Source organism: Homo sapiens, chromosome X (genome assembly GCF_000001405.40).
Source record: "Homo sapiens chromosome X, GRCh38.p14 Primary Assembly".
Taxonomy (NCBI): domain Eukaryota; kingdom Metazoa; phylum Chordata; class Mammalia; order Primates; family Hominidae; genus Homo; species Homo sapiens.
Genome location: NC_000023.11, coordinates 34,921,065 through 34,945,130, shown reverse-complemented (window position 1 = coordinate 34,945,130; position 24,066 = coordinate 34,921,065). Strand labels below are relative to the sequence as shown.

The 24,066-nt window shown below is 39.2% G+C and overlaps 1 protein-coding gene across 1 annotated transcript; it reads right to left on the bottom strand.

Moving 5' to 3' along the window:
• FAM47B (family with sequence similarity 47 member B) lies at positions 216–2,335 on the bottom strand. Its single transcript, NM_152631.3, has one exon. It carries the CDS (start codon positions 2,297–2,299, stop codon positions 362–364), a length of 1,938 nt encoding a protein of 645 aa, NP_689844.2. The 5' UTR covers positions 2,300–2,335; the 3' UTR covers positions 216–361.

The following is a 24,066-nucleotide window of genomic DNA, read 5'->3' as shown; positions in this document are numbered from 1 at the left end:
CCCAAAGTGGGGAGGGATTACAGATGTGAGTCAACGCACCCGACCCCACTTCTCTTTCTAATATTAATTCTGCTTTTGTTTCTGGTTGTATGTATTTTTACAAATAATTGAAAGGATGATGTAATATTCACAATGCTTCAACAATGTGAAAAAAGTATATGTGAATATAAATCACATAATTGATAAAATATATGAAATAATGAGGCCAAAGCAGGTCATTAAGACATATTTATAAGCATTGGGTATTGAATTTACAGATGTTGCCAAAGTTGTACATTCACGGGGCCAGTCATCATAAATTCTGATTGATGTTTAGAATGAGAGCAAGAAATACCCAATTAAGCAGTAAATTGAAAACCATCTAATCTTCTTTTGATGCATCTGTGACGTCTTCTTTGTACTTGTAAACTTGCACTGCACGTTGAATAGGAGTCTTAACAGAGTCGTAAGTCCATCCCTTCTTGGCAAACAGCTTTTCAATGACGCCAGGCATTCTGTAGCCCTTGCTTAGAATGAAATCCTTAAAGGCAATTGGTCCATAAAGACCGTCAAGAATGTCGGGTTCATCAGGCTTTTCAAGTACGGGCTTGGGGTCAATCAAAGGTTCATCACTTCTTAGCTTTTTCCCCAACTTAGGCTCGAAGTACCATGGTCCATACCTTATCCTCCCACGCTGTGCACTATAAGAATGCGGTGCCGCCCGGCGTCTCCTGTCCCAGTATTTTATCCGTAAGAATTCGACCTCATCCATGTCGTCTAGCTCCATGCCGTACATCAGCCTTGAAGCACACTCGTTTGCCTTCTTAATCTTTTGGTCTTGATCGGTTGTTCTGCACTCAGGGGTAAAGTCAAACAGACTGCTGATGGATTCTTCATTAACTCCTAGGTCTCCAGCCCACTTGAAGTCACGGAGTTTTCTCGATGTGTGTCTACGTTGAAGAGAGTCAGAAACACACTCCATTGTGCTTGGTGTATCTTCCTGAAACAGTTCTTTTAGATGGGACGCTCCGGTCTTGGTAGGCTCCGGGCAGAGACTGGACACCCGACGAGTCTTGGGAGGCTTCAGGCAGAGACTGGCCATTCGACGAGTTATGGGAAGCACCAGGCGGAGATGGGGCATCCGACTCTCAAAAGGCCGCGGACAGGATTCCCAAAAATGGTATTTACCAGGCTTGGTGAGTTCCTCGGTTGTCATCTCCTGGCCCTCACAACGAGCCCGTGCGTCTTCCAGCTTCTTCTCAGAATCCAGTTTCAGCACCTGTAGTAGGAAACTGGACACCCGATGAGTGTTGGGAGGTTCCAGGCAGAGATGGGACACTCCAGCCTCGGGAGGCTCCGGGCAGAGACTGGACACCTGAGTCTTGGAAGGCTCTGGGCGGAGATGGGACACTCCAGTCTCAGGAGGCTCCGGGTGGAGATGAGATACGCGAGTCTCGGGAGGCTCCGGGCAGAGATGGGACGCTCCAGTATCAGGAGGCTCTGGGTGGACACTGGACACCAGAGTCTTGGGAGGCTCTGGGCAGAGATGGGACACTCCAGTCTCGGGAGGATCCACGCGGAGATGAGATGCGCGAGTCTCTGGAGGTTCCGGGTGGAGACTGGACACCCGAGTCTTGGGAGGCTCTGGGCGGAGACTGGACACCCGAGTCTTGGGAGGCTCTGGGCGGCGACTGGACACCGGAGTCTTGGGAAGCTGAGGACGGAGACGGGACACCGGAGTCTCGGGAGGCCGCGGGCAGGATTCCCCACAGGGATATTTACCAGACTCGGTGGGTACCTCGGTTGTCTTCTCCCGGGCCTCACAACGAGCCCAAGCGTCCTCCAGCTTCCTCTCGGGATCCAGCTGTTTCAGCACCTGTAGTAGGAGATCTGGAGGCATATCTTTTCCCAGATTGGGGTACATGGCCAAGGGATGCTTGGTCATCAGCTGGGCTTCCACTTCCTCTACGAACGCCTTCCGTGCTGGCTGTACTGGCGAGAGCTCGGAAAATAGGGCCGCTTTCTTGAGCAGCTTTTTCTTCCTGCTTTTGCGGTCAGCTTGGGGACCTCTGAGAGATATTTTGGGGAGTAAAAACTCGTCACGGCGACAAACAAGCGTATCTTCAGGAGACTGACAGGCGTAGCGGAAGTCGTCCATGCCCTCCGTCACAAATACCCAGTTCTGGGTGTCCACAGGCGGGAACCTCAGGCGCCTGTGCTTGCGCTTCGCGAAGTACTTGGAAGGCGGTTTGTCACAGTACCAGGGCTTGGAGTCCATGCCTTGGGACCTTGGCCGGTCCTGTGGCCTCCGGTCCCCCATGGTGGCCCTCTCTGTTGTGCCACCTCTCCAGCTTCTGAGGTTCCAGATCCCTGCCGCTCTAGTCGCTAGGAGACCGCCAGCCACACGCAGCCCAGGTTCCTTCCTGGAGGTGGGGCAGCGCTGACGCCACCTGCGCAGCCCGGATTCTAACAGGTGTGTAGTAGAATCTCATTCTGGGTTTCATTTGCGTTTCCTAATGACTACTGATATTGAACATCTCTATATTTGCTTATTTGCCATCCTTATCTCCCCTTGGTTGAAGTTTCTGTGGATTTTCCCCCCATTTTTAAATTGTGTTGCTGGATATCATATTTAGTTTTGAGAATCCTTGCTGTGTTCTAGATGTAAATAGGTTATCAGATGCATGATTTGCAAATTTTTCACTTCATCCTTGGCTTTGCTCTTTCATTGTCTGTGTCAAAGAGAAGTTTTTTAATTTGATGAAGTCCAATTTATCAATTTGTTCTTTTACGGATTGTGCTTCTTTTGATGTATCTATGAAAAACTTTGCCTATCCAAAGGTCACAAAGATTTTTTTCATTTAAATGCTATAATTTTTGTAAACAGCACAAGATATAGATCAAAGTTTTTATTTTAAAAATGTACCTATTGCTTACGCATATCTGATAATTTCAGAACTATTTTTATAAAGACAATCTTTTCTCCACTGAATTACATTCGGAAATTGGTAGAGTATCAGTTGTCTATTTGAAGGTCAATTTCTGGGCACTGTTTTCTCTTCCATTGATTTTTCTCTCACACAAATTTCACACTATCTTGGTTACTCTAGCTTTATAATAAATCTAGAAATTAGGCTGTACTAATTCTTTAACAATGTTCTTTTACAAAGTTGGTTCTTCTAGGTCCTTTGAATTTCTATAGAAATTTTAAAATCTGCTTGTCTATGTCTTAGAAAAAGTCCTGTTTGGATTTTGATTAGGATTCTGTTGAATCTATAGATCAATTTGAGGATAATTGGCATATTACCAATATGAAATGTTCTGACCACTGAGGAAGGTCATCTTTCCATTTGTTTATGTGATTTTTCATTTTCTCGGGAATATTTTTTATTTTTTAGTGTATGTGTCTTTCAAATCTTTTTCTCTCCAGATTTTCCCTAAATATTGTTTTTCATACTATTATATGTAGTTTTTTTTTGTTTTGTTTTGTTTTTTTTTGTTTTTTTTTAAGAGACGGAGTCTCGCTCTTTCGCCCAGGCCAGACTGCAGTGGCGCTATCTTGGCCCACTGCAAGCTCCGCCTCCCGGGTTCATGCCATTCTCCTGCCTCAGCCTCCCCAGTAGCTGGGATTACAGGCACCCGCCACCGCGCCCTGCTGACTTTTTGTATTTTTAGTAGAGACGGGGTTTCACCGTGTTAGCCAAGATGGTCTCGATCTCCTGACCTCGTGATCCACCCACCTCGGCCTCCCAAAGTGCTGGGATTACAGGCATGAGCCACCGCGCCCGGCCTGTAGTATTGTTTTTTAATTGCAATTTCCAATTTTTTGTTGTTAGCATATATAAATATTGAGTTTTGTATATCCATCTTGTATCATACAACCTTGGTAAACTCACTTATTATGTTCAGGAGCATTTTGTAGATTTCACTGAATTTTCTATATTTATGATAATGTCATCTGTGAATAAAGACAGTTTGAGGCCAGGTGCAGTGGCTCACGCCTGTAATCCCAGCACTTTTGGAGGCCGAGGAAGGCGGATCTCAAGGTGAGGAGCTTGAGACCAGCCTGACCTACATGGTGAAACTCCGTTTCTACTAAAAATACAAAAATTAGCTGGTCATGGTGGCGCGTGCCTGTAGTCGCAGCTACTAGGGAGGCTGAAGCAGGAGAATCACTTGAACCCGGGAGGCGGAGATTGCAGTGAGCCGAGATCGCGCCACTGCACTCCAGCCTGGCGACAGAGCGAGACTCCGTCAAAAACAAACACACACATACACACACACACACACACAAGACAATTTCCTGTCTTCCTTTCCAATCTCAGTATCTTTATACCCCCCAGTCCAGTCGTAATTTTTGATTTTCCTTTGAATAATATCAGTTAAATTTTTATCTCTCTTATGGTGCTTAAAACAATACCTATGAAAAAGCATTTTTATAAAAAATTTTAATTATAGACAAATTCAGCCTGCATTGTTCCTTATGCATATCACTTTCTCATCACATAATAATTTTTCCTGTACATTCTTACTCATTTTTGAAAAGAAGGTTTCTGACTTCCCTTGTGAGGTGCAGCTGAACAATGTTTTCTACCATTACTAGCAGGTATACCCTAGTTCCTCCTTGTAAATGAAGCATGATCAACGCCTCTCTTCTCTTTGGTTCCTCCTCTGCAAAATAGACGCAATATATATTCTTTTAGGTTTCTCATTAAAGCAAATAAATGGTTTATGTGTAAATCAAGATAATCTATATAACATGATTTTGTATAGGGTCTGGAACAGAATAAGCATCCAGTAAAATATTGTTATTTTATATAGTATTACTACAATTTGGAAATAAAAATATTCTACATTCAGTGTCTAAATAAAGGAAAAACAAACATCATACATTTATATATCACAAATATTTTCATTTATCGATTATAAGAATCTATGTTAAAGTCTCAAGATATTTAGTAGATTTCATAATGTGAAGTTGGTAAGACCAAATTTGATATGGATTTATTTTTAACTTTCTTACTTAGAAAAATTCCATGGACTGTGTGTTAAATTCAAGAGCCAATGCTTCACCAATTCTCTATAACAGTACTCTAACTAGCAAGCTCATATGAGTACTCACTTATCTAAAATGGGTGAAGGTTTGAATAAAACTTCTATATTCTAAATAATCCCACAGAAAAACACACATTGAAGCTCTTAAAGATCAACTGGATATCTTCAAAAATTTTCAGGTGACTGTTCATTTAAACAGTTTTTGTACCTTACAGCCACTTTATTTTTTTCACTTTTCAAAGTAGAATATTATACAAAAGACACATATCCAGAATACATAAATAAATCTTAAAACTTAACAATAAGAAAACAAAGAACACAAAAAAGTTTATAATATATAGTGGTTTAACATGTACAGAGATTAATAGCTAAAGAAATAATTATAGATGTGTATACATATTGGTTAGTATACATGCATATATTTTATAGCTCTGTCTGCTGAGAAACTAGAAAAAAATGACACCCAATTAGCAACAGGTACCTCCAGTGCCCAGATCTTGGTTTCTAAATACCATTCTCCAAAATAACAAATGCAAAACAAAAAACAGACATCCTTGGAGAAATGAGTAATTCTAGGCCTGGGGCAGTGAAAACACAAGATGAGCCTGGAGTATTATGTAATGCCAGAAAATACAGAAGTGCTCAGAAAACAAAAGAATAAAAGCAGATCAGGAGCCACACTGAAAGAGCACTCGATGGCCAAAGTTAAAACAATTTAAGCAACAAAATGAATTAAAATTTAAAAATTATAACACAGTATAAAATAAAATATTCATGAGTCCATACTGATATAAATAATTGTACAAATAAATAAATGAGGAGAAAGGTAAAAGTCTTTCTTACAAAGAATTTCAAAAAATGTACATAGATACTCCTCCCTCCAGCAGGTGAAATTTAAATGCCCTCCCCAGAGTGTGGGCTGGATTCTAAAAAACAGAATATGGAAAGGGAAAAATAGTAACATTTTAGGAGAGAAGCCTGGCAGTCCTCTCGTTAACCAAATGATCCAATATCAGCAGTGAGAAGTCACGTTGGTATCATGTGCTCCTCTGATAGGATGTGATGAGAAAAACACTTCACCTCTGTAGTGTTCTTCCCTAAATTCCAGAATCCTAGCCTAATGAGGAGAAAACATCTAACAAACCCAAGTCCAGGGACATTTTACAAAATTCTCAAGTACTCCTCAAAACCATAAAGGTCATGGGAAACAAGTAAAGGCTGAGAACCAGTTACAGACTTTAGATTAAAGAGACATGAAAACTAAATTCCATGTGGTAGGCTGGGTTGGATCCTGGCACTAAAAAAGGACATGGGTATAAAAATCTATAAATCCGAATATAGTCTGAAGTTTAGTTAATAGTAATATGTTAATGTTAATTTTTTAGTTTAAATGCATGTACAATGTAAGATATTAATTTTAGGGGAAGCTGAGTGAAATGTCCATGAAAATGCTTTGTACAGTGTTTGCAACTGTTTCATAAATCTAAAATTATTCTAAAATAGAAGGCTTCCATTTTAAACTATGTATTGCATCATGATGGATTATCAACAAATCACTATTAATCACACAGGAGAGAAAGCTGTAGCTTCTTTAAAATGCATAATTGTGGCCCCCCTCACCCCATATATAGTAAATCATAATTTTTTCAAAGTGGAGCCAGTCATCTACATTTCACATGGTCTTTAAATTGTACACACCAATATGTGAGAATTACTTTTGTAAAGCCCTGTGCCTTTTATAGGCCCCAAAGACTTTCAAAGAGTTTAAAAACCACAGTGGTAATAGTATTATCCAAAGTCACCAAATTTGAAGAAAATTAAATTTCAGCAAGTGCTAGATGGGAATGTAAAAATCAGATAGCAGAGCCTGTGGACAAAATAATTCACTTAGATAACATGTGCATAACTGGGATCCCACGGGATAATGATGTCATGATAGAAGAGTAAAGAAGATACGAAATTTGGTGAGTACCTGACTGGCAGTAAAAAAACAACTAGGAGTGAAAGCATCTTACTTGTGCAAATAGTCCTTCTTGGGTTGAAGAAAACTGACATCACTATAGAGTGCAGAGAAATTACAACTGGCCTGTTCAGTCAAGAAGCACCAACTGCCTTAGTATAAAGTGTTATTCCAGAAATGAATAGTGTAGCTGACAAGCAAAACCAGCACCAACAAGCTAATAAAGAAATGTTCAAGCAAGTCAAAAATGCTCTGAGTGGAGCAGCATGTAATGAATAAGTAAACAAGGGAATGAGAATAAACAATGAAAATCAATGTGATGAAGTGCGTTGATTTAACGGAGCCTAAGTAGTCCCAGTTTTGACATTTTTGTGTGCCTCTGACTGCTCTACGAACTTTACCTTAACTCAGGACACCATTTTTATTCTCCAGCAGACTCATGTTATCTGAAATCTTGCTGCCTCTCGTATCCACACGCAGCACCTGCCAGCCTTTTACAGAAGCCGAATGACGTTCACTCTGATCCAATCGACTTTGTAATTGTTTTGCTTTTATTAGCTCTTGCTAAGTTTACCTTCTGTGTGGAGAACCTCAGAAACCACATAACTCTGAGCCATAAGGCATGATATTGTCTTCTCAGAAGTATGAATAAATAAGTATCGAGATTTCCCACATTTTGATTGGATTAATGACTCATTTCTCTAGGATATTGAAGTAAGTACTTGAGTCTTAATGCTCTGGCCAGAATTTCCAATATTATGTTGAATTGGAGTGGTGAGAGAGGGGATCCTTGCTTTGTGTCAGTTTTCAAGGAAAATGCATCCAGCTTTTGACTATTCAATGTGATGTTGGCTGTGGGTTTGTCATAGATTGCTCTTATTACTTTGAGGTATGTTTCTTCAATACCTAGTTTATTGGGAGTTTTTAACATAAAGGGGTGTCGAATTTTACCGAAAGCCTTTTCTGCGTCTATTGAGATAATCATGTGGTTCTTGTCATTAGTTCTGCTTATGAATCACAGTTGTTGATTTTTGTATCTTAAACCAATCTTGCATCCCAGTGATAAATCCAACTTTATCATGGTGGATGAGCTTTTCTATGTGCTGCTGGATTCGGTTTGCTAGCATTTGGTTGAGGGTTTTTGCGTCAGTGCTCATCAAGGATACTGGCCTGAAGTTTTTTTTGTTGTTGTGTCCAGGTTTTGGTATTAGGATGATGCTGGCCTCATAGAATGGGTTGGGGAGGAGTCCCTCTTCAATTTTTCAGAATAGTTTGTATGGAAATGGTGCCAGCTCCTTTTAGTACATCTAGTAGACTTTGGCTGTGAATCAGTCTGGTCCTGGGCTTTTTTTGGTTGTTGGGCTATTTATTACTGATTCAATTTCACAACTCATTATTGGTTCGTGCAAGAATTCAATTTCTTTTTGGTTCAGTCTTGGGAGGGTGTATGTGTCCAGGAATTCATTCAGGTATCTTCTAGCTTTTTGAGCTTGAGTGCATAGAGGTGTTCACGGTTGTCTCTATTTTTTTTTCTCTTTGATATTTCTGTGGGGCCAATGGTAACATCCCCTTTCTCATTTTTAATTGTGTTTATTTGGATCTTCTCTTTTTTTCTCTGTATTTGTCTACCAATAAGTCTATCTTATTAATTTTCCAAAAAAAAAGCCTCCTCGATGTGTTGACACCATAAATAGCTTTTCATGTCTCGATCTCTTTCAGGTCAGCTGATTTTGGTTATTTCTTGTCTATTGCTAGCTTTGAGTTTGACTTGCTCTTTCTTGTCTACTTCTTTTAGGTGTGATGTTAGGTTGATAAATGGATATCTTTCTAATTTTTTCATGTGGGCATTTAATACTACAAATTTCCCTCTTAACACTGCCTTAGCTGTGTCCCAGAGATTCTGGTATGTTGTATTTTGTTCTCATTAGTTTTGAAAAAACGTATTAATGTCTGCTTTATTTTCATTATTTACCCCAAAGTTATTTGGTAGCAGGTTTGTTAATTTATATTTAAGTGTATGGTTTTAAGGTACTTTCTCAGTCTTGATTTCTATTTTAATTGTGCTGTGGCATAAAATAGTGGTTAATATGATTGTGGTTCATTTGCATTTGATCAGGATTGTTTTATGTCAGATTGTGTGGTTGATTTTAGACCATGTGCCATGTGTAGATAAAAAGAACATATAGTATATTGGATCAGAATGGAGAGTTATGTAGATGTCTATCATGTCCACTTGTCCCAGGGTTGAGTTTAGGTCCTGAATACCTTGGTTAATTTTCTGCCTCAGTGATCTATCTAATGCTGTCAGTGGGGTGTTGAAATCTCCAACTATTATTGTGTGGTAGACTAAATCTCTTTGTAGGTCTCTAAGAACTTGCTTTGTGAATCTGGGTGTTCCTGTGCTAGTTGCATATATATTTAGGGTAGTCAGGACTTCTTGTTGAATCGAACCTTTCAATTCATGTCCTTCTTTCTCTTCATTTCATGTCCTTCTTTCTCTTTTATGATCTTTGTCAGTTTAAATCTATTTTTTTTTCTAAAATTAGGACTGCAACCTCTGCTTTTTTGTGTTTTCCATTTGCTTGGTAGATTTTTTTCCATCCCTTTATTTCGAGCCTATGAGAGATGAGTCTGTTGAAGACCACGTTCTACTGGGTCTTTCTTCTTTATCCAGCTTGTCACTCTGAGATTTTAATTGGATTTAATTTAATTGCTGCATTTAACCCATTTGCACTTAAGGTTAATATTGGTATGTGTGGATTTGATTCTGTCATCAGGATGTTAGCCGGTTATTATGCAGTCTTGTTTGTGCGGTCACTTTATAGTGTCCTTTGTCTGTGTATGTGTGTTTTTCTAGTGGATGCTAACTGATATGGTCTGGCTCTGCGTTCCCCACTCAAATCTCATTTTGAAATGTAATCTGAATTGTAATCCCCACGTGTTGGGGAAGGGACCTGATGGGAGGTGATTAGATCATGGGAGCATTCCTCCATGCTGTTCTTATGATAGTGAGTGAGTTCTCATGAGATCTGATGGTTTTATAAGGGGCTTTGCCCCCTTTCACTCTGCACTTCTCCTTCCTGCCATTATGTGGAAAAGGACGTGTTTGCTTCCCCTTCTGCAATGATTGTAAGTTTCCTAAAGCCTCCCCAGCGATGCTGAACTGTGAGTCAATGAAACTTCTTTCCTTAATAAATTGCCCAGTCTCAGGTATGTCTTTATTAGCAGTGTGAGAATGGACTAACGCAGTAACAGTCTTTCCTTTTTATATTCAGTGCTTATTTCAGGAGCTCTTGTTTGGCAAGTCTCATGGAAATAAATTCCTTCAGCATTTATTTCTCTGAAAAGGCTCTTATTTTGCTTTGCTTATGAAGCTTAGTTTGGCCAGATAGGAAATTCTTGGTTGGAATTTTTTTCTTTCGATATGTTTAATATAGGTCCCCCAGTATTTTCCAACATGAAGGGTTTCTCCTAAGAGTTCTGCCACTGATGTGATGAGGTTCCCTTTGTAGGTGACCTGTTATTTCTCTCTAGCTGCTTTTAACATTTTTTCCTTTTTTTTTTTTTTTTTTTTTAAGACAGAGTCTCACTCTGTTGCCCAGGCTGGAGTGCAGTGGTACGATCTCGGCTCACCACAACCTCCATCTCCTGGGTTCCAGCGATTCTCCTGCCTCAGCCTCCTGAGTAGCTAGGACTACAGGCATGTGCCACCATTCCTGGCCAATTTTTGTAGTTTTAGTAGAGACAGGGTTTCACCAGGTTGGCCAGGCTGGTCTCGATCTCCTGACCTTGTGATCCGCCTGCCTCGGCCTCCCAAAGTGCTGGGATTACAGGCGTGAGCCACGGCCTCGGGCCAACGTTTTTTTTTTTTCATTTCGACCTTGGAGAATCTGATTATTATTTGTCTTAGGTATGGTCTTCTGGTGAAGTATCTTATGGGGGTTCTGTGCGTTTCCTGTATTTGAATGTTGGTCTCTTTAGCTAGGTTGAAGATGTTCTCATGGATGATATCCTGAAATATGTTTTCCAAGTTGCTTCCATTCTCTCCATCTCTTTCAGAGAGGAAATTGTGTCATACACTTGGTCTTTTTACATATCCTATATTTCTCTTAGGTTTTGTTTGTTCCTTTTCATTTTTTTTTCTTTATTGTTGTCTGTCTTGTTTCAATAAGCCTGTCTTCAAGCTCTGAGATTCCCCAGCTTGGTCTATTCTGCTGCTAATTCTTGCAATTCCATTTTGTAATTTTTATAGTGTGTTTTTAAGCTCTATCAGTCAGTTACATTTTTTCTATACTAGCTATTTTGTCTGTTTGCTCCTGTATTGCTCTATTGTGATTCCTGGCTTTCTTTGATTGGGTTTCAGCATTCTCCTGAATCTTGATTATTTCTACCCATATTCTGAATTCTGTTTCTGTCATTTCAGCCATTTCAACCTAGTTAAGAACCCTTGCTGGACAACTAGTGTGGTTGATTGGTGGAAATAAGACCATCTGGCTTTTTGAGTTGTCAGAGTTCTTGCACGGGTTTCTTCTAATTTTTGTGGGCTGATGTTCTCTCAATCTTTAAAGTTGCTGTTCCTTGGGTGTTTTTTGTTTGTTTTAGGCTATTTGATGACCCTGGGGATTTGGATGTGGGATAAGGTGGGTTCAGTCGACTAGCTTTGTTTCTGTAAGATTTTAGGTGGCAAGACTCAGCTCAGGTTTCTGGATTGTGTGCTCTAACTATGAGGAAATGTTACTGAGCCCCAGCTTTGTTCTTTGGCTTCTTGATGTTAGGGACCTGCTGCAATGAAGGCGCTGAGTGCTTCATTGGGTGGTGCCAGTCAAAGCACTTTGTAGGGCAGTGGCAGTGAGACTCATGCTCATTCACATGTGCCAGCAGCAGCAGCAGTGTGGCAAGACAGCATGGTGCTAGTGGGTTCTGGGGTCCCTGCCTCTATGCTGGTGGTCACAGCAGCAGTGGTGGCAGTGAGGCAGCATTGCTGTCTGGGGTAAATACCTGAGGTTTGTCACCTCACACCAAGGACATCGAAGACGTGGACACACGACAAGTGAGCTTACGAGCGGAGGTTTAACAGGCGAAAGAAAAGAGAAAAGAGAATTCTCTCCTGCAGAGAGACAGGGACTCCTGAGTGGGGCTTCCAGTTCTGTGGTGAAATGCATGGGGTTTCATAGACAAGCTTGAAGAGGCAGTGTCTGATTTACATAGGGCCCAAAAGATTGGTTGGACCAGGTGTACCATTTACATAGCGTGCAAAGAAGCTGGCTGCTCCACCCTAATATTTTATTATGCAAATTGTTTCTCTACCTGCCTGGTGTCATGCTGCCTGCCTCTTTACTGCACAGATGGTTGACAAAGAAAAGGAAAGAGGGAACCTCCGTGTTGAATATACCTGGCTTCCAGGTATTTTTTTTCTATTGGCACAGTGGCCAGCATTTACCTCTGCAAGCATTTAGCTTGCTTATCTATACTTGAAGCTTGATACTTCAGGCTGCTTTTTGTTAGAAAAGAAATGATTTTGGGGCTTCTTTTTATTAAAAGGAAACCTTACCAAGGACTCTCTTACCCTCACTATCTGCCTAAATACTTTCTTTCTAGCTCCTGTATCGGCAGCATAGCTTGGGTTGGGCTGTGGGCTCTGCTGGCAACTGTGTATTTGTTTGTACCTGTGGTGGTGTTAGCACAAGGGTGGAGCACTGCTGGGCACTATGTGTGCCCTCTGTACATTTTCATTTGGGCAGTGGTGTCCACTGCCAGTCAGGATGGGGGCAGGTCCACTGTTTTCTGTGGTTAGTTTTGCACCAGTGGCAGTGTCAATACACGGGCAGGGTGCTGGTTGGGGTGGGCCTGATGGACTCTATTCCTGCCAATCCTCTGATAGCAGTGGCTGTGCTGTAGGGAGTAGGGTGGTGTGGTGCACTTATGCCAGCAGCAGTGAAATAGCAGGGTGCACGTGCACCCTTGCCTTGGCAGGGAAGGGGAGTCAAGGTCTACCCATGCACACATGAACCAGCAAAGCAATGTGGGGGGTGGCAGTAGATGAGTGTGTGCAAGCAAAGTGGCACAGGGGAGGCTGCAGTTTGGGGAAGGCATAGATGGGCTGGTGTGTGTCAGTGGGGGCCTCTCGGCTGGAGCTCTCTGTCAGGTGTCATCTGCCAGTTCAGGAGCTATGATGCAGGTCCCCAGGGGGATCCGAGGCTGCACTGCAAGCAGGTACAGCCAGGCTGGGGCCTTGGCAGAGGCAAGCTGACTGAGGGGTGCTCAGGTCAGACTGGTCCATCTCATGGGCAAGATCTCCTTGCAGAGTTCAGGTCTGACAATTCCCCTAGGACTAAAGTGTCCTACAAGAGCAAGTCAAGCTTGGGAAATGAGTATCTTGGAGGTCCTCCACTCCAGATGCTTTGCACCAAACCCTCTGGGCTCTGCACTGGCTGAAGTTCTGCCCCTACCACTTTTCTAAGCAGCTCTTCCTGCCACCTCACGTGTCCTTTGTGGTCATGAGGTCTCCTTCTGCCAGGATTCCTTAGGCACATGGCGAGAGCAGGTTGCGCCTTTCCTGTTCAACACACCCCTTCCTCAGGAGTCACTTGGAGCCAGGAGTGAGTCCTGGTGCAGGGTAGCCCCATTCAGAGTTACCAGCTTCCTTCTCCTTCAGCCCAGCATCCGTATCTCCCCTCCATCTACTCTCAATGCCTTCCTTCTGAAGATCTGCTAGGAGTGCACTGGTCTTCCTGATGTCCTGGTCCTTTGGTAGCAGATGATCTTTCTGGCTGCATCTAGTTGACCATATTGCTGCCTCCCTCAGCATAATTCTTAGGAACCTAGGTTTTTCAGAATGGTGGATGAGCACCGGCTTCAACTTAAAATTACCAGCTTCACTAGTCCCTAACAAGAGAGTCAGTCTGTCTTTTGAAGCTTTGAAGTCAGGCATTGACTCCTCTCTAAATATGAAAGCCTTAGATGGCATATTTTTCCAATAGACGGCTGTTTCATCTGCATCAACATTTTGTTGTTTAGTGTAGCCACCTTCATTATCTTAGATCTTAGCTTAGCTTTCTGTATAACTTGCTGCAGCTTCTGTATCAGCACTTGCTGCTTCACCTTGCACCTTTTTGTTATGGAGGCAGTTTCTTTCCATAAACCTCATGAACCAACTTCTGCTGGCTTCAACCTTTTCTTCTACAGCTTTGTCACCTCTCTAAACCTTCACAGAATTGATGATAGGAAGGGCCTTCCTCTGGACTAGGCTTTGGATTAAGGGAATATTGTGGTTGGTTTGATCTTCTATCCTGACCACCCAAACTCTCCCAACATCAGCATTGTTTGTTTCACTTTTTAAAATTATTTGTGTGCTTACTGGAGTAGCATTTTTAATTTCCTTGAAGAACTTTTCCTTTGCATTCACAGCTTGGCTAACTGTTTGGCACACGAGGCCCAGGTTTCAGTCTATTTTGGCTTTTGATATGCCTTTCTCATTAGGCTTAATCATTTCTGGTTTTTGATTTAAAGTGAGATACATGTGATTGTTCATTTTCCTTGAACACTTAGAAGGCAATGGAGGGTTATTAATTGTCCTAATTCAATACTGTTGTGTCTCATTGAATAGAGATGTCCAAGGAGAGGGAGACAGATGGGGGAACAGCCAATCAGTGAAGCAGTCAGAACACACAATATTTACCAATTCAATTTACTGTCTTATATAAGCGCAGTCTGTGGCACTTCAAAACAATTACAATAAGTATATAAAAAATCACTGATCACAGATCACCATATCAGATATAATAATAATGTAAAAGTTTAAAATATTGTGAGAATTAGAAAAATGTGACAGAGACACGAAGTGAGCACATACTGTTGAAATAGTAGTGTCGCTGTAATTGCTAAATATAGGTAGGGTTGCCACACACCTTCAATTTGTAAAAATCACAATATCTGGAAAGCATAATAAATAAAAATGCAATAAAATGAACCTTGCCTGTATTAAAATGGTATAATGCCCCTAACATTGCTTACATGGCAAACATTTGTTGCAGTTACAAAGAACTGGGGTTCTCATTTAAGTTTTCTTGTATTTTACCTAATTGAAATTCTTCCCATATTCTGAAACTAGTTCAGCTGCCAGTCTTACTTCTTGATGTTTTTATGAGATTTTTCTTTTCTTTTTGGGGTCATGATAGCTATTTTAATTATAAATTAGAAGAAATCAAATTGCTAGCATATTATTTCATTTTAACTTTTTCTCCACTCCTTATTTCCACATACAAAAATGGAATTTCTACTCTAGTCTCCAGGAAAATAAAATTGTGGGAAGAGCATTTCAAGTTCCTCTCCATCCTCTCCCCATGTCTGTCCTGGGGCTGCAGCAAGGTGTGGAGTATGTGGAAGAAGTGACTTACTTTATACATAAACTGGATACTTGAGCATGCTCAAATTACCCTGCACCTCTTTGGCCTCTTTTTATGCCTTGCCTCACAGAGCTTACTCTGAACTATTTCTCATTATGCAGTAAGTTTATCAGATAAGTTCTATTCCTGAAATGAGATAGCTTAGATGTATGGAGTCTAATCCAACTTAGGGGTGGTGTATTATTAAAGTCAATGATTACATGTCCAAGCGTTGTTTTCTTATTCATCTTTCCTGGAGTTGTCCACTTCTGTTGTCACAACAAATCTAAGATATACTGCAATAGAGCTTTTACCCAATAATACAATTTATACTCTGTGTGTCTGTATGTGCATCTCTCTCAATTCTGAACTTAGGAGAGAAGAGAAAATTTCCATCTATTGGCCTTCTAAACTCCATATGTTGGTAATAGTCTTGCAAAAATCACAGAAATAGAAGAAGGCTGCCATGTGGGGAGCTAATTCATATGTTCAAAAGACCAAGATTTCTGGGGTGGCCAGCTAGAGGGGGTTAAGTTTTGAAGCATTGGTGAGGAACTATAAAATATTTTTCTCTAGGCTCTTTGAATGGGCATAAGTGCAGTGGGAGATATTTATGCACAAATAGCACAAGTGTACTCACATTGTGACAATCCATCAAGATATACACTCAACATCCACGCACCTTTCCTTATGTATTTCATATTTCAATAAAAAGTTTACCAAAAATTAATAAAAGATGCATAGTGTAGGATTTGTAAAAAAAGTATCAACAATGTTACTTTTTAAAAGAAAGCCTGGGATCAAGAAGTAAGACTTCATTTTTAATTTTAAAAGTGTTTAGATTTTGAATTTTTCTCACATACTTACAAGTTTAAATTACTTTAAAGTTTTAAAGGAAGGCATACTAGAGACAGAAACACTGCACAAGAGTCTGTTCTTCTACTTTAGCAAACACTACTCAATCCCGAAACATAAGTGGGAAGACTCTGCTGATTTTGAAGCATCCAAATGTTAACAGACAAGACAACTGGAAAAATGCTTTCAGGGCTTTTCAGAGACCTTAGTGGCAGCCTCTCCTGTCAAAGGCCTGGAGACCTAGGAGGAAATAATGGTTTCATGGGCCAGGCCTAAGGCTCCGCTGCTCTGTGAAGCCTCAGGACATGGTACTTTGTGTCTCAGCTACTCCATCTCCAGCTGTGGCTAAAAGGGGCCAAGGTACAGCTCAGGTTGTTGCTTCAGAGGGTGTAACCCCAAGCTTTGGCAGCTTCTGCATAGTGTTGGGCCTGTGGGTGTGCAGAAGGCAAGAGCTGAGGTTTGAGAGCTTCCACCTAGATTTCAAAGGATGTATAAAAATGCCTGAATGTCCAGGCAGAAGTCTGCTGCATGGGCAGAGCCTTCATGGAGAACCTCTGCTAGGGCAGTGCAGAGGGGAAATGTGGAGTTGGAGCCCCCACACAGAGTCCCCACTGGGGCACTGCCTAGTGGAGCTGTGAGAAGAGGGCCACTGTCCTCCAGACCCCAGTATGGTAGATCCACTGACAGCTTGCACCATGCACATAGGAAAGCTGCAGGCACACAATACCAGCTCATGAAAGCAGCCACAGGGGTGGAGCTGCCCAAGGCCTTGGGATCCACCCATTACATCAGTGTGTCCTGGATGTGAGACATGGAGTCAAAGGAGGTTATTTTGGAGCTTTAGGATTTAATGACTACCCTGCTGGGTTTCGGACTTGCATGGGCTTGCCCTTTGTTTTGGTTGAATTTTCCCTCTTGTAATGGAACGGTTTACCCAATGTCTATACACATATTGTAGCTTGGAAGTAACTGACTTGTTTTTCTATTTTACAGGCTGATAGGTGAAAGGGACTTGTCTTGTCTCAGGTAAGACTTTGGACTTGGACTTTTGAGTTAATGCTGGAATGAATTAAAACTTGGGAGACTATTGATAAGGCATGATTGTGTTTTGAAATGTGAGAAGAATATGAGATTTGGGAGGTGCCAGGGGTGGAATGATATGGTTTGGCTCTGTGTTCCCACCAAAACCTCAGGTCAAATTCTAACCACCACATGTTAAAGGAGGAGCCTGGTGTGAGGTGGTTGAATCATGGGGGCAGACGTCCCCCTTGCTATTCTTGTGATGGTGTTCTCATGAGATCCGGTTGTTTAAAAGTGTGTAGCACCTTCCCCCTGCCCCCCTGTCTTCTCATTATCTCTCTCTCCTGTTCTGCCGTGGTAATACATGCTTGCTTCTCCTTCACCTTCCATCATGATGGTAAGTTTCCTGAGGCTTCTATAGCCATCTTCCTGCACAACCTGTGGAACCATGAGCTAATTAAACCTCTGTACTTTATAAATCACCTAGTCTCAGATAGTTCTTTATAGCAATGTGAGAACAGATTAATACAAGCACTTTGGTGGGTTTTGCCCAATTTTGAATATCCATGATGGTTGGGGAAAATTGAATTCCTATCTAGCCCCAAGGGGTGTTTCCTGATTGGTCTCTATGTCTATTATGACAGTTCTTTTGCTTGCTAGCTGCTCAGCAATGTGTTGCAATTCTGATCAATGTGGTATAAAGAACACATACTTAAGGACTTATGGGAAAATTATAATCAACTCTACCTTAAAAAGGGTTTCAAGACAGGAACATTTCTTTTTATAGATATTTTAACTTGAATGCAGTATCTGTAACTGATATTGCTATGTTACAGCAACAAGCTGAGATTACTAGAGAAGGAAGATGGATCTTAGATAATACCATTAAGTCACTGACTGAACCCTGAAACGACCTACTATTTAGAGTTTTGTTACATGATGTGATATAGTAAATAGTCCATTTATTATTACTTATAGTCAAGATTCTCTTATGAGTTACAATGTATGTGCTATATCACAGATGTAACTTACAAGAAATGATTCATTAAGCTAAGAAGATGGGCCATATAAATAGAAAGATATTTATATATCATGTCAATGTGGAAAAGTAAATGGGTGAGAATGTTTAGGAAAACATGAGAAAAGAATAATGAACATGTATTACTGCAGCCACATACTACAATAAAGAATTATACAGACTATAGTCCAATAATAGAGCTATGTGTATACAGGAATTCACTATATTATAAAAGTTTTATATCAAATAATAGGGGAAAAGATACATTAATTAATAAATGGGTTGGAACAACAAGCTTATTTCCTTCCTCACTCTTTACACCAAACAAATCTAGAGGAGTCAAACACTATAAAAACAGCAGTGGTAGAAAAGGAGGAGAAGGAGAAAGTGAAGAAGAAACAATACAGGTACTGAAAAAATGGATAGTCTGCCTCCAAAAACTGTCATCTTGGAGTTGGGGAGTTCTTTCTGAGCACTGTTAGAAAATGCAATATTGGTTAATATTAGTTTAATATTGAAAACCCATCAATGGAATTTCTATGTTAAGAGAAATCATAGAAGAAAAAATTTTTAGTATCATCTCAATAAATACAGAAAAAGCATTTGATAAATTTAAAAATCAATCAAGATTTTTATAAAGTTTTATCAATTAGAAATAAAGCAAAGAAGTCTTTGTTTAATCTGAAAAACAGTAGCTACTGAAAACCTACATAAACATCATACTTAATGGTGAAGTATTGAAAGCTTTCCCTTTGAGGAAAAGACAAGGCAAAGATATTCACTCTCACCACTTCCATTCAACATTGTACCAAAGGCCTTGATGGTAAAACAAAAATAAATAAATAAATGTTGTAAGGATTTCATAGAAAAAATATTTACTATTTTTCAATAATATAACTATTTATATCAAAATAAAGAACAATCTATAGATAAATTATGAAATTTAATAATAAAAATTTAAGTGAATTTCTCAAGATTAATTAATATTCATATATTATTTATTAATATTTATATAGTATAGCTTATACCATATAAGAATGAATTACATTTCTGGCCAGGCACGGTGGCACATGCCTGTAATCCCAGCACTTTGGGAGGCCGAGGCAGGTGGATCATGAGGTCAGGAGTTTGAGACCAGCCTGACTAACATGGTGAGATCCCATCTCTACTAAAAATACAAAAATTAGCTGGGCGTAGTGGCACGGGCCTGTAATCCCAGCTACTCAGGAGGCTGAGGCAGGAGAATTGCTTGAACCAGGGAGGCGGAGGTTGCAGTGAGCCAATATAGCGCCACCGCACTGCAGCCTGGTGACAGAGCGAGACTCCATCTCAAAAAATAATAAACAACAACAAAAAGAAGTAATTACATTTCTATGAACAAGTAACATACAACCAGGAAATAAAATTTTAAAAATTTGCAGTACAATAATTATTTTTGCAAAAAGTATAAAATATGACTAAATGTAACAAAATGTTTGCAAGAATTCTATGGAGGAAACTATAATATAGAGATAATTTAAGACATAAATAAGTAGGGGGACATACCCCATTAATGAATTAGAAGACTCGTTCTAAAGATGTTAGCTCTCTTCAAATTGATCTGCTGGTGTGATGTGATCCAAAAGTGTATACATTTTCTAATAAAACCTGAAAATATGTTTCTAAAATGTATATGGAAATATAAAGGGCCAAAAAAGTCAAGACATTGTACATGTACAACAGTAAACATATATATGAATGTTCATGGCACTATCAATATAGTAACAAATATATGAAAACAACCTAATAATGGCTAAATCAAGTATGGTATAGTAACACAATTGAACAGTATGAAAAAAGGAAGTGAATGATCTCCATTAATCAACATGGATGCCTCATAATGTTGAGCAAAATGTATTAGACACAAAATACTATCTGATTTATTTAAATAAAAATGTTTAAGGCAGGTATAAAGGTATAATTAATGGTGGCAATGTACATTTAAGCATCAAAGCAATGAGGGGGAAAAAACAACTATTATTACCAACATCCGACTGAGGTTGGGCATTACAGGAGAGGGAGAGATGGAATATTGGTTGGGATAGGGTACAAGAGAGCTTCCTGGTGCTGTTAACAGACATTGGTGGTCAGTTTGGGACAAATTGTTGAGTTTTCCATTTCTATATCCTGTATTTTTCTGTATATATGTTATGCATTTCATGATAAAAAGAGGTTAATTTTACTGCTTATAAATTTAAAACTTATCAGGAGTAAAACTAAACAAAAAGACAAAGACAAAGGATAAATAAAATGAAAAATATTTCCCACATGTAGTAGGCAAAGGACTTACACATTACCCAAATAAAGGTCTGTTCTTTTTTATTTGGATTATTATTTCCCTGGCACTTTGAAAACCTTGGTGCTTCATGCTACTGTTCTGGTAATTTTGGAACCAGCATATTAGAGTTCTGACGGTTTTCACAGCTAGCATTTTAATAAATAAAGTACAGTGAAATGTGCAAAAAGGTTAGAGTCAGTGTCCTCTTGTCTTTGACAAGGGAGACATATCTGCCTGTATTTTCCCTAAAGTTTTTTTCAAAGAGACTATTTAAGGAGGTCACCCATAAGAAATAAATTAATGTTTGTGTGTAGAAAACACTGAATTAGGATTTAGCAACAGTTTAGAGGAATGGGCTCTGCAAGAAAGGCTGTGCCAGGCATATGGGAAATGGGGCTTAGTAAAATGAAAGTGATTGTGAATAGAGGAAAGAGCTTCTCTACAGGGCCACTCTCATTTTCTCCCTCCATATCACCCCTGTTTTCATTTGTTTGGCCAATGAAGACACCTTTCCAAACCGGTATTTGTGTGTGGAGAGGAACCGAGACCAGGGTCAAAAGATGCAACCTGGAAGCTCTGAGGGTAAAGAAAGGAATATTTCGAGGGCAGAATTAGGGAAGGAAGTGTACCTCTAGGTGGGAGACCAAACCTCATGGGTAAGAGATATAAAACTACCAGACAGAGACATAAATATGAGGAAGGGCCTGTGTCCAAATCATTCCAGTAACAATATATTTTTAGACTAGAAAGTCATTGTGAGGTAGATTGGGACACCGTGTATGCAAATATAAGGTCAATATTTTACAACAACTGTTTGTTAAGTTATGCACAAAAAAACTGACTGGTGAATGTTAGCCCCGCTAAGCCCATGGAAATTATCGAGACTCTCCTATCAAGGGTAAGGCAGAGAAAAATATGGCCACAACATTTTGATATCATAATCAAAGTGTTTTATTTAAATGCAATATTAAATAAGATGATTATTTAATAAGGTGATTAAATTGTCATTGAACATAAAATTCCCATATTAAGTAAATATTTAAATTTATTTATTTTAGATTTTATTTCCTCCTTCTGATTGAAATTCCTGGAACTGTAGGTTAGATCTTTGCTAGAAATTGTGCCTTCATGAAAAAAACATGTGCCCTAAGAGAATTACTTAATAAATGAATAAAATTAATGATTTAATATTCAGTAGCCTAACCAATAATCTGGAACAGAGAAATTCACATTTTAAGCCATATCCAGCAAGAAGAATGTCCGTATTCAGCATAATATACGAGCTAGAAAAACAGTTATATTGACTTTGATAGTAATTCTGTGGTTGATGCTTAAAATATTTTCATCAGTAACTCTGTGAAGACACAGCTTGAGATCAGGCAAGTTTGTGAACTTGACTCATGTGAAGGTTATAATTAAAAATACAATTGGGAAGGGTTAGCAAGATGTTAAAATGTCTTATAGACAGTTTGACAAAGCCATGGTCAGAAAAAATCCTTAAAGATCAGAGGTGGGAGTAATAAAACCTAAAGAGGAGATAGTAAAATAATTTTTAGGAAGATTAATTCTAGTTTACTGTATATTTCTACCTCAAGTAATTTAATCTGAAGATTATTTTCTTCTATGTACAAAATGACATATACAAGAATGTTTATTATCACATTGTTTTTAACAGTGGAAGATTGAGGGCAGCCAAAATATCCATCAGTAGAAGAGATAAAAGATGTCCAAATCCAAATTAAAGACATTAATATGCATTAGGTGGATCTGTACATACTGACATGGAAAAATGAGTGAGATATGTTGCACGAAAAAATTGCAGAACATTTTGGATTTGTATAGAAAGGTTTGGAGGCTTTTTCAGCAAGCTATTTGTAATAATCTGGAAGGTGAAGTCACCAGGGAGTTCCACTATCTACATTTATGAACACAGGTGCAGAAAAACTAAGCAATATATTTAAAAAATCAAATCCATATTGTTTAGTTTTTCAGCATCTGTGTTCATGAGTGAGTTTGGGAGGTAATTATCATTTCATAGTGTCCCTGTCAGATTTTGACATTGGGTTATGTTGGCTTTGTAGAACTTTGGAAATCTTGCTCACTTTCTGGTGGAATTTATATAATATTGGTGTCATTTAATTTGTTCCTTATTTATTTGGAAAGAAATTACTGGTGAAGCCAATTGAACTCAGAATTTGCTTTGAGAGTAGGTTTTGAATTACAGACACATTTATTAGATATAGAAACAATTGACTTTCCCTTTATTCTTATTCATTTTTGTTAAATTATGTCAATTAAGTTATTATCATAATATTGCTTATATCTTTCTATAATCACTTAATATCAATAAAATCTGTAGTAATATCTTCTTTTTAATCTTTATACTTATTATTTGTGCCTCCTCTCTTTGATTAATTTTTTTTGTTTTTTGTTTTTTGAGACGGAGTCTCACTCTGTCGCCAGGCTGAAGTGCAGTGGCGTGATTTCAGCTCACTGCAATCTCCGCCTCTCGGTTTCAAGCGATTCTCCATCCTCAGTCTCCTGAGTAGCTGGGACTAAAGGTGTGCACCACCACGCCCAGCTAATTTTTGTATTTTTAGTAGAGACAGGGTTTTACCATGTTGGCCAGGATGGTCTTGATCTCTTGACCTCATGATCCGCCCACATCGGCCTCCCAAAGTGCTGGGATTCCAGGTGTGAGCCACCACGCTGGGCCTAATGTTGTTTTTAAAAGAACCAACTTTGGTTTTGTTGATTTCATTTTATAATTGTTTCTTATTTATCGGATTTCTGCATGTATCATTATTTTTTCTTCTAATTCTTTGGGTTAATTTCCTGTCCTCATCTAAATATATAGATTGTTAATTTTCAGTCTTATTTTCTAATATTTATACTTGAGTCTATGAATTTTTATTTATTAATGTCTTTAGTTGCATGCCACATATTTTTATATGCCAACTATGTTACCATTTATTTCACAGCAACTTAAAATATCCATTGTCATTCTTGTTTGATACAATTTAGTTATAACTATACAGTTTAATATCAAATATTAAGGAATTTTTCTGTTTATCTTTTTGATACTGATTTTTTATTTAATTCTACTCTCTGCAATAAACATCATCCCTTTAAATTGTGTCAAAGCTTGTTTCATGGTCTGTAATATGGTTAATATTGATAACTTTCCAAGTACACTAGAAAAGAGTATATATTGTAACTACGGAACAGTGTTGTATATGTCAACTAGGTCAAGTTCATGAATGTTGTTCTTCAATCCCAAAGAAACTCCAGCAAGTTTTGTTTATTTATTCATAAAAATTTGACTCTAAAGGGAGAGAAACAGAAAAGATTTGGTCAATCTCAATGTATTTTATTACCCACAGGACCTTGGCCTCACAAGTTCTCACTTCTTTTATTGCTTTCTGATGCTTTTACATAGCTGTTCTTTTCTATTTTGCTTAGCTTTTATAGCTATGCT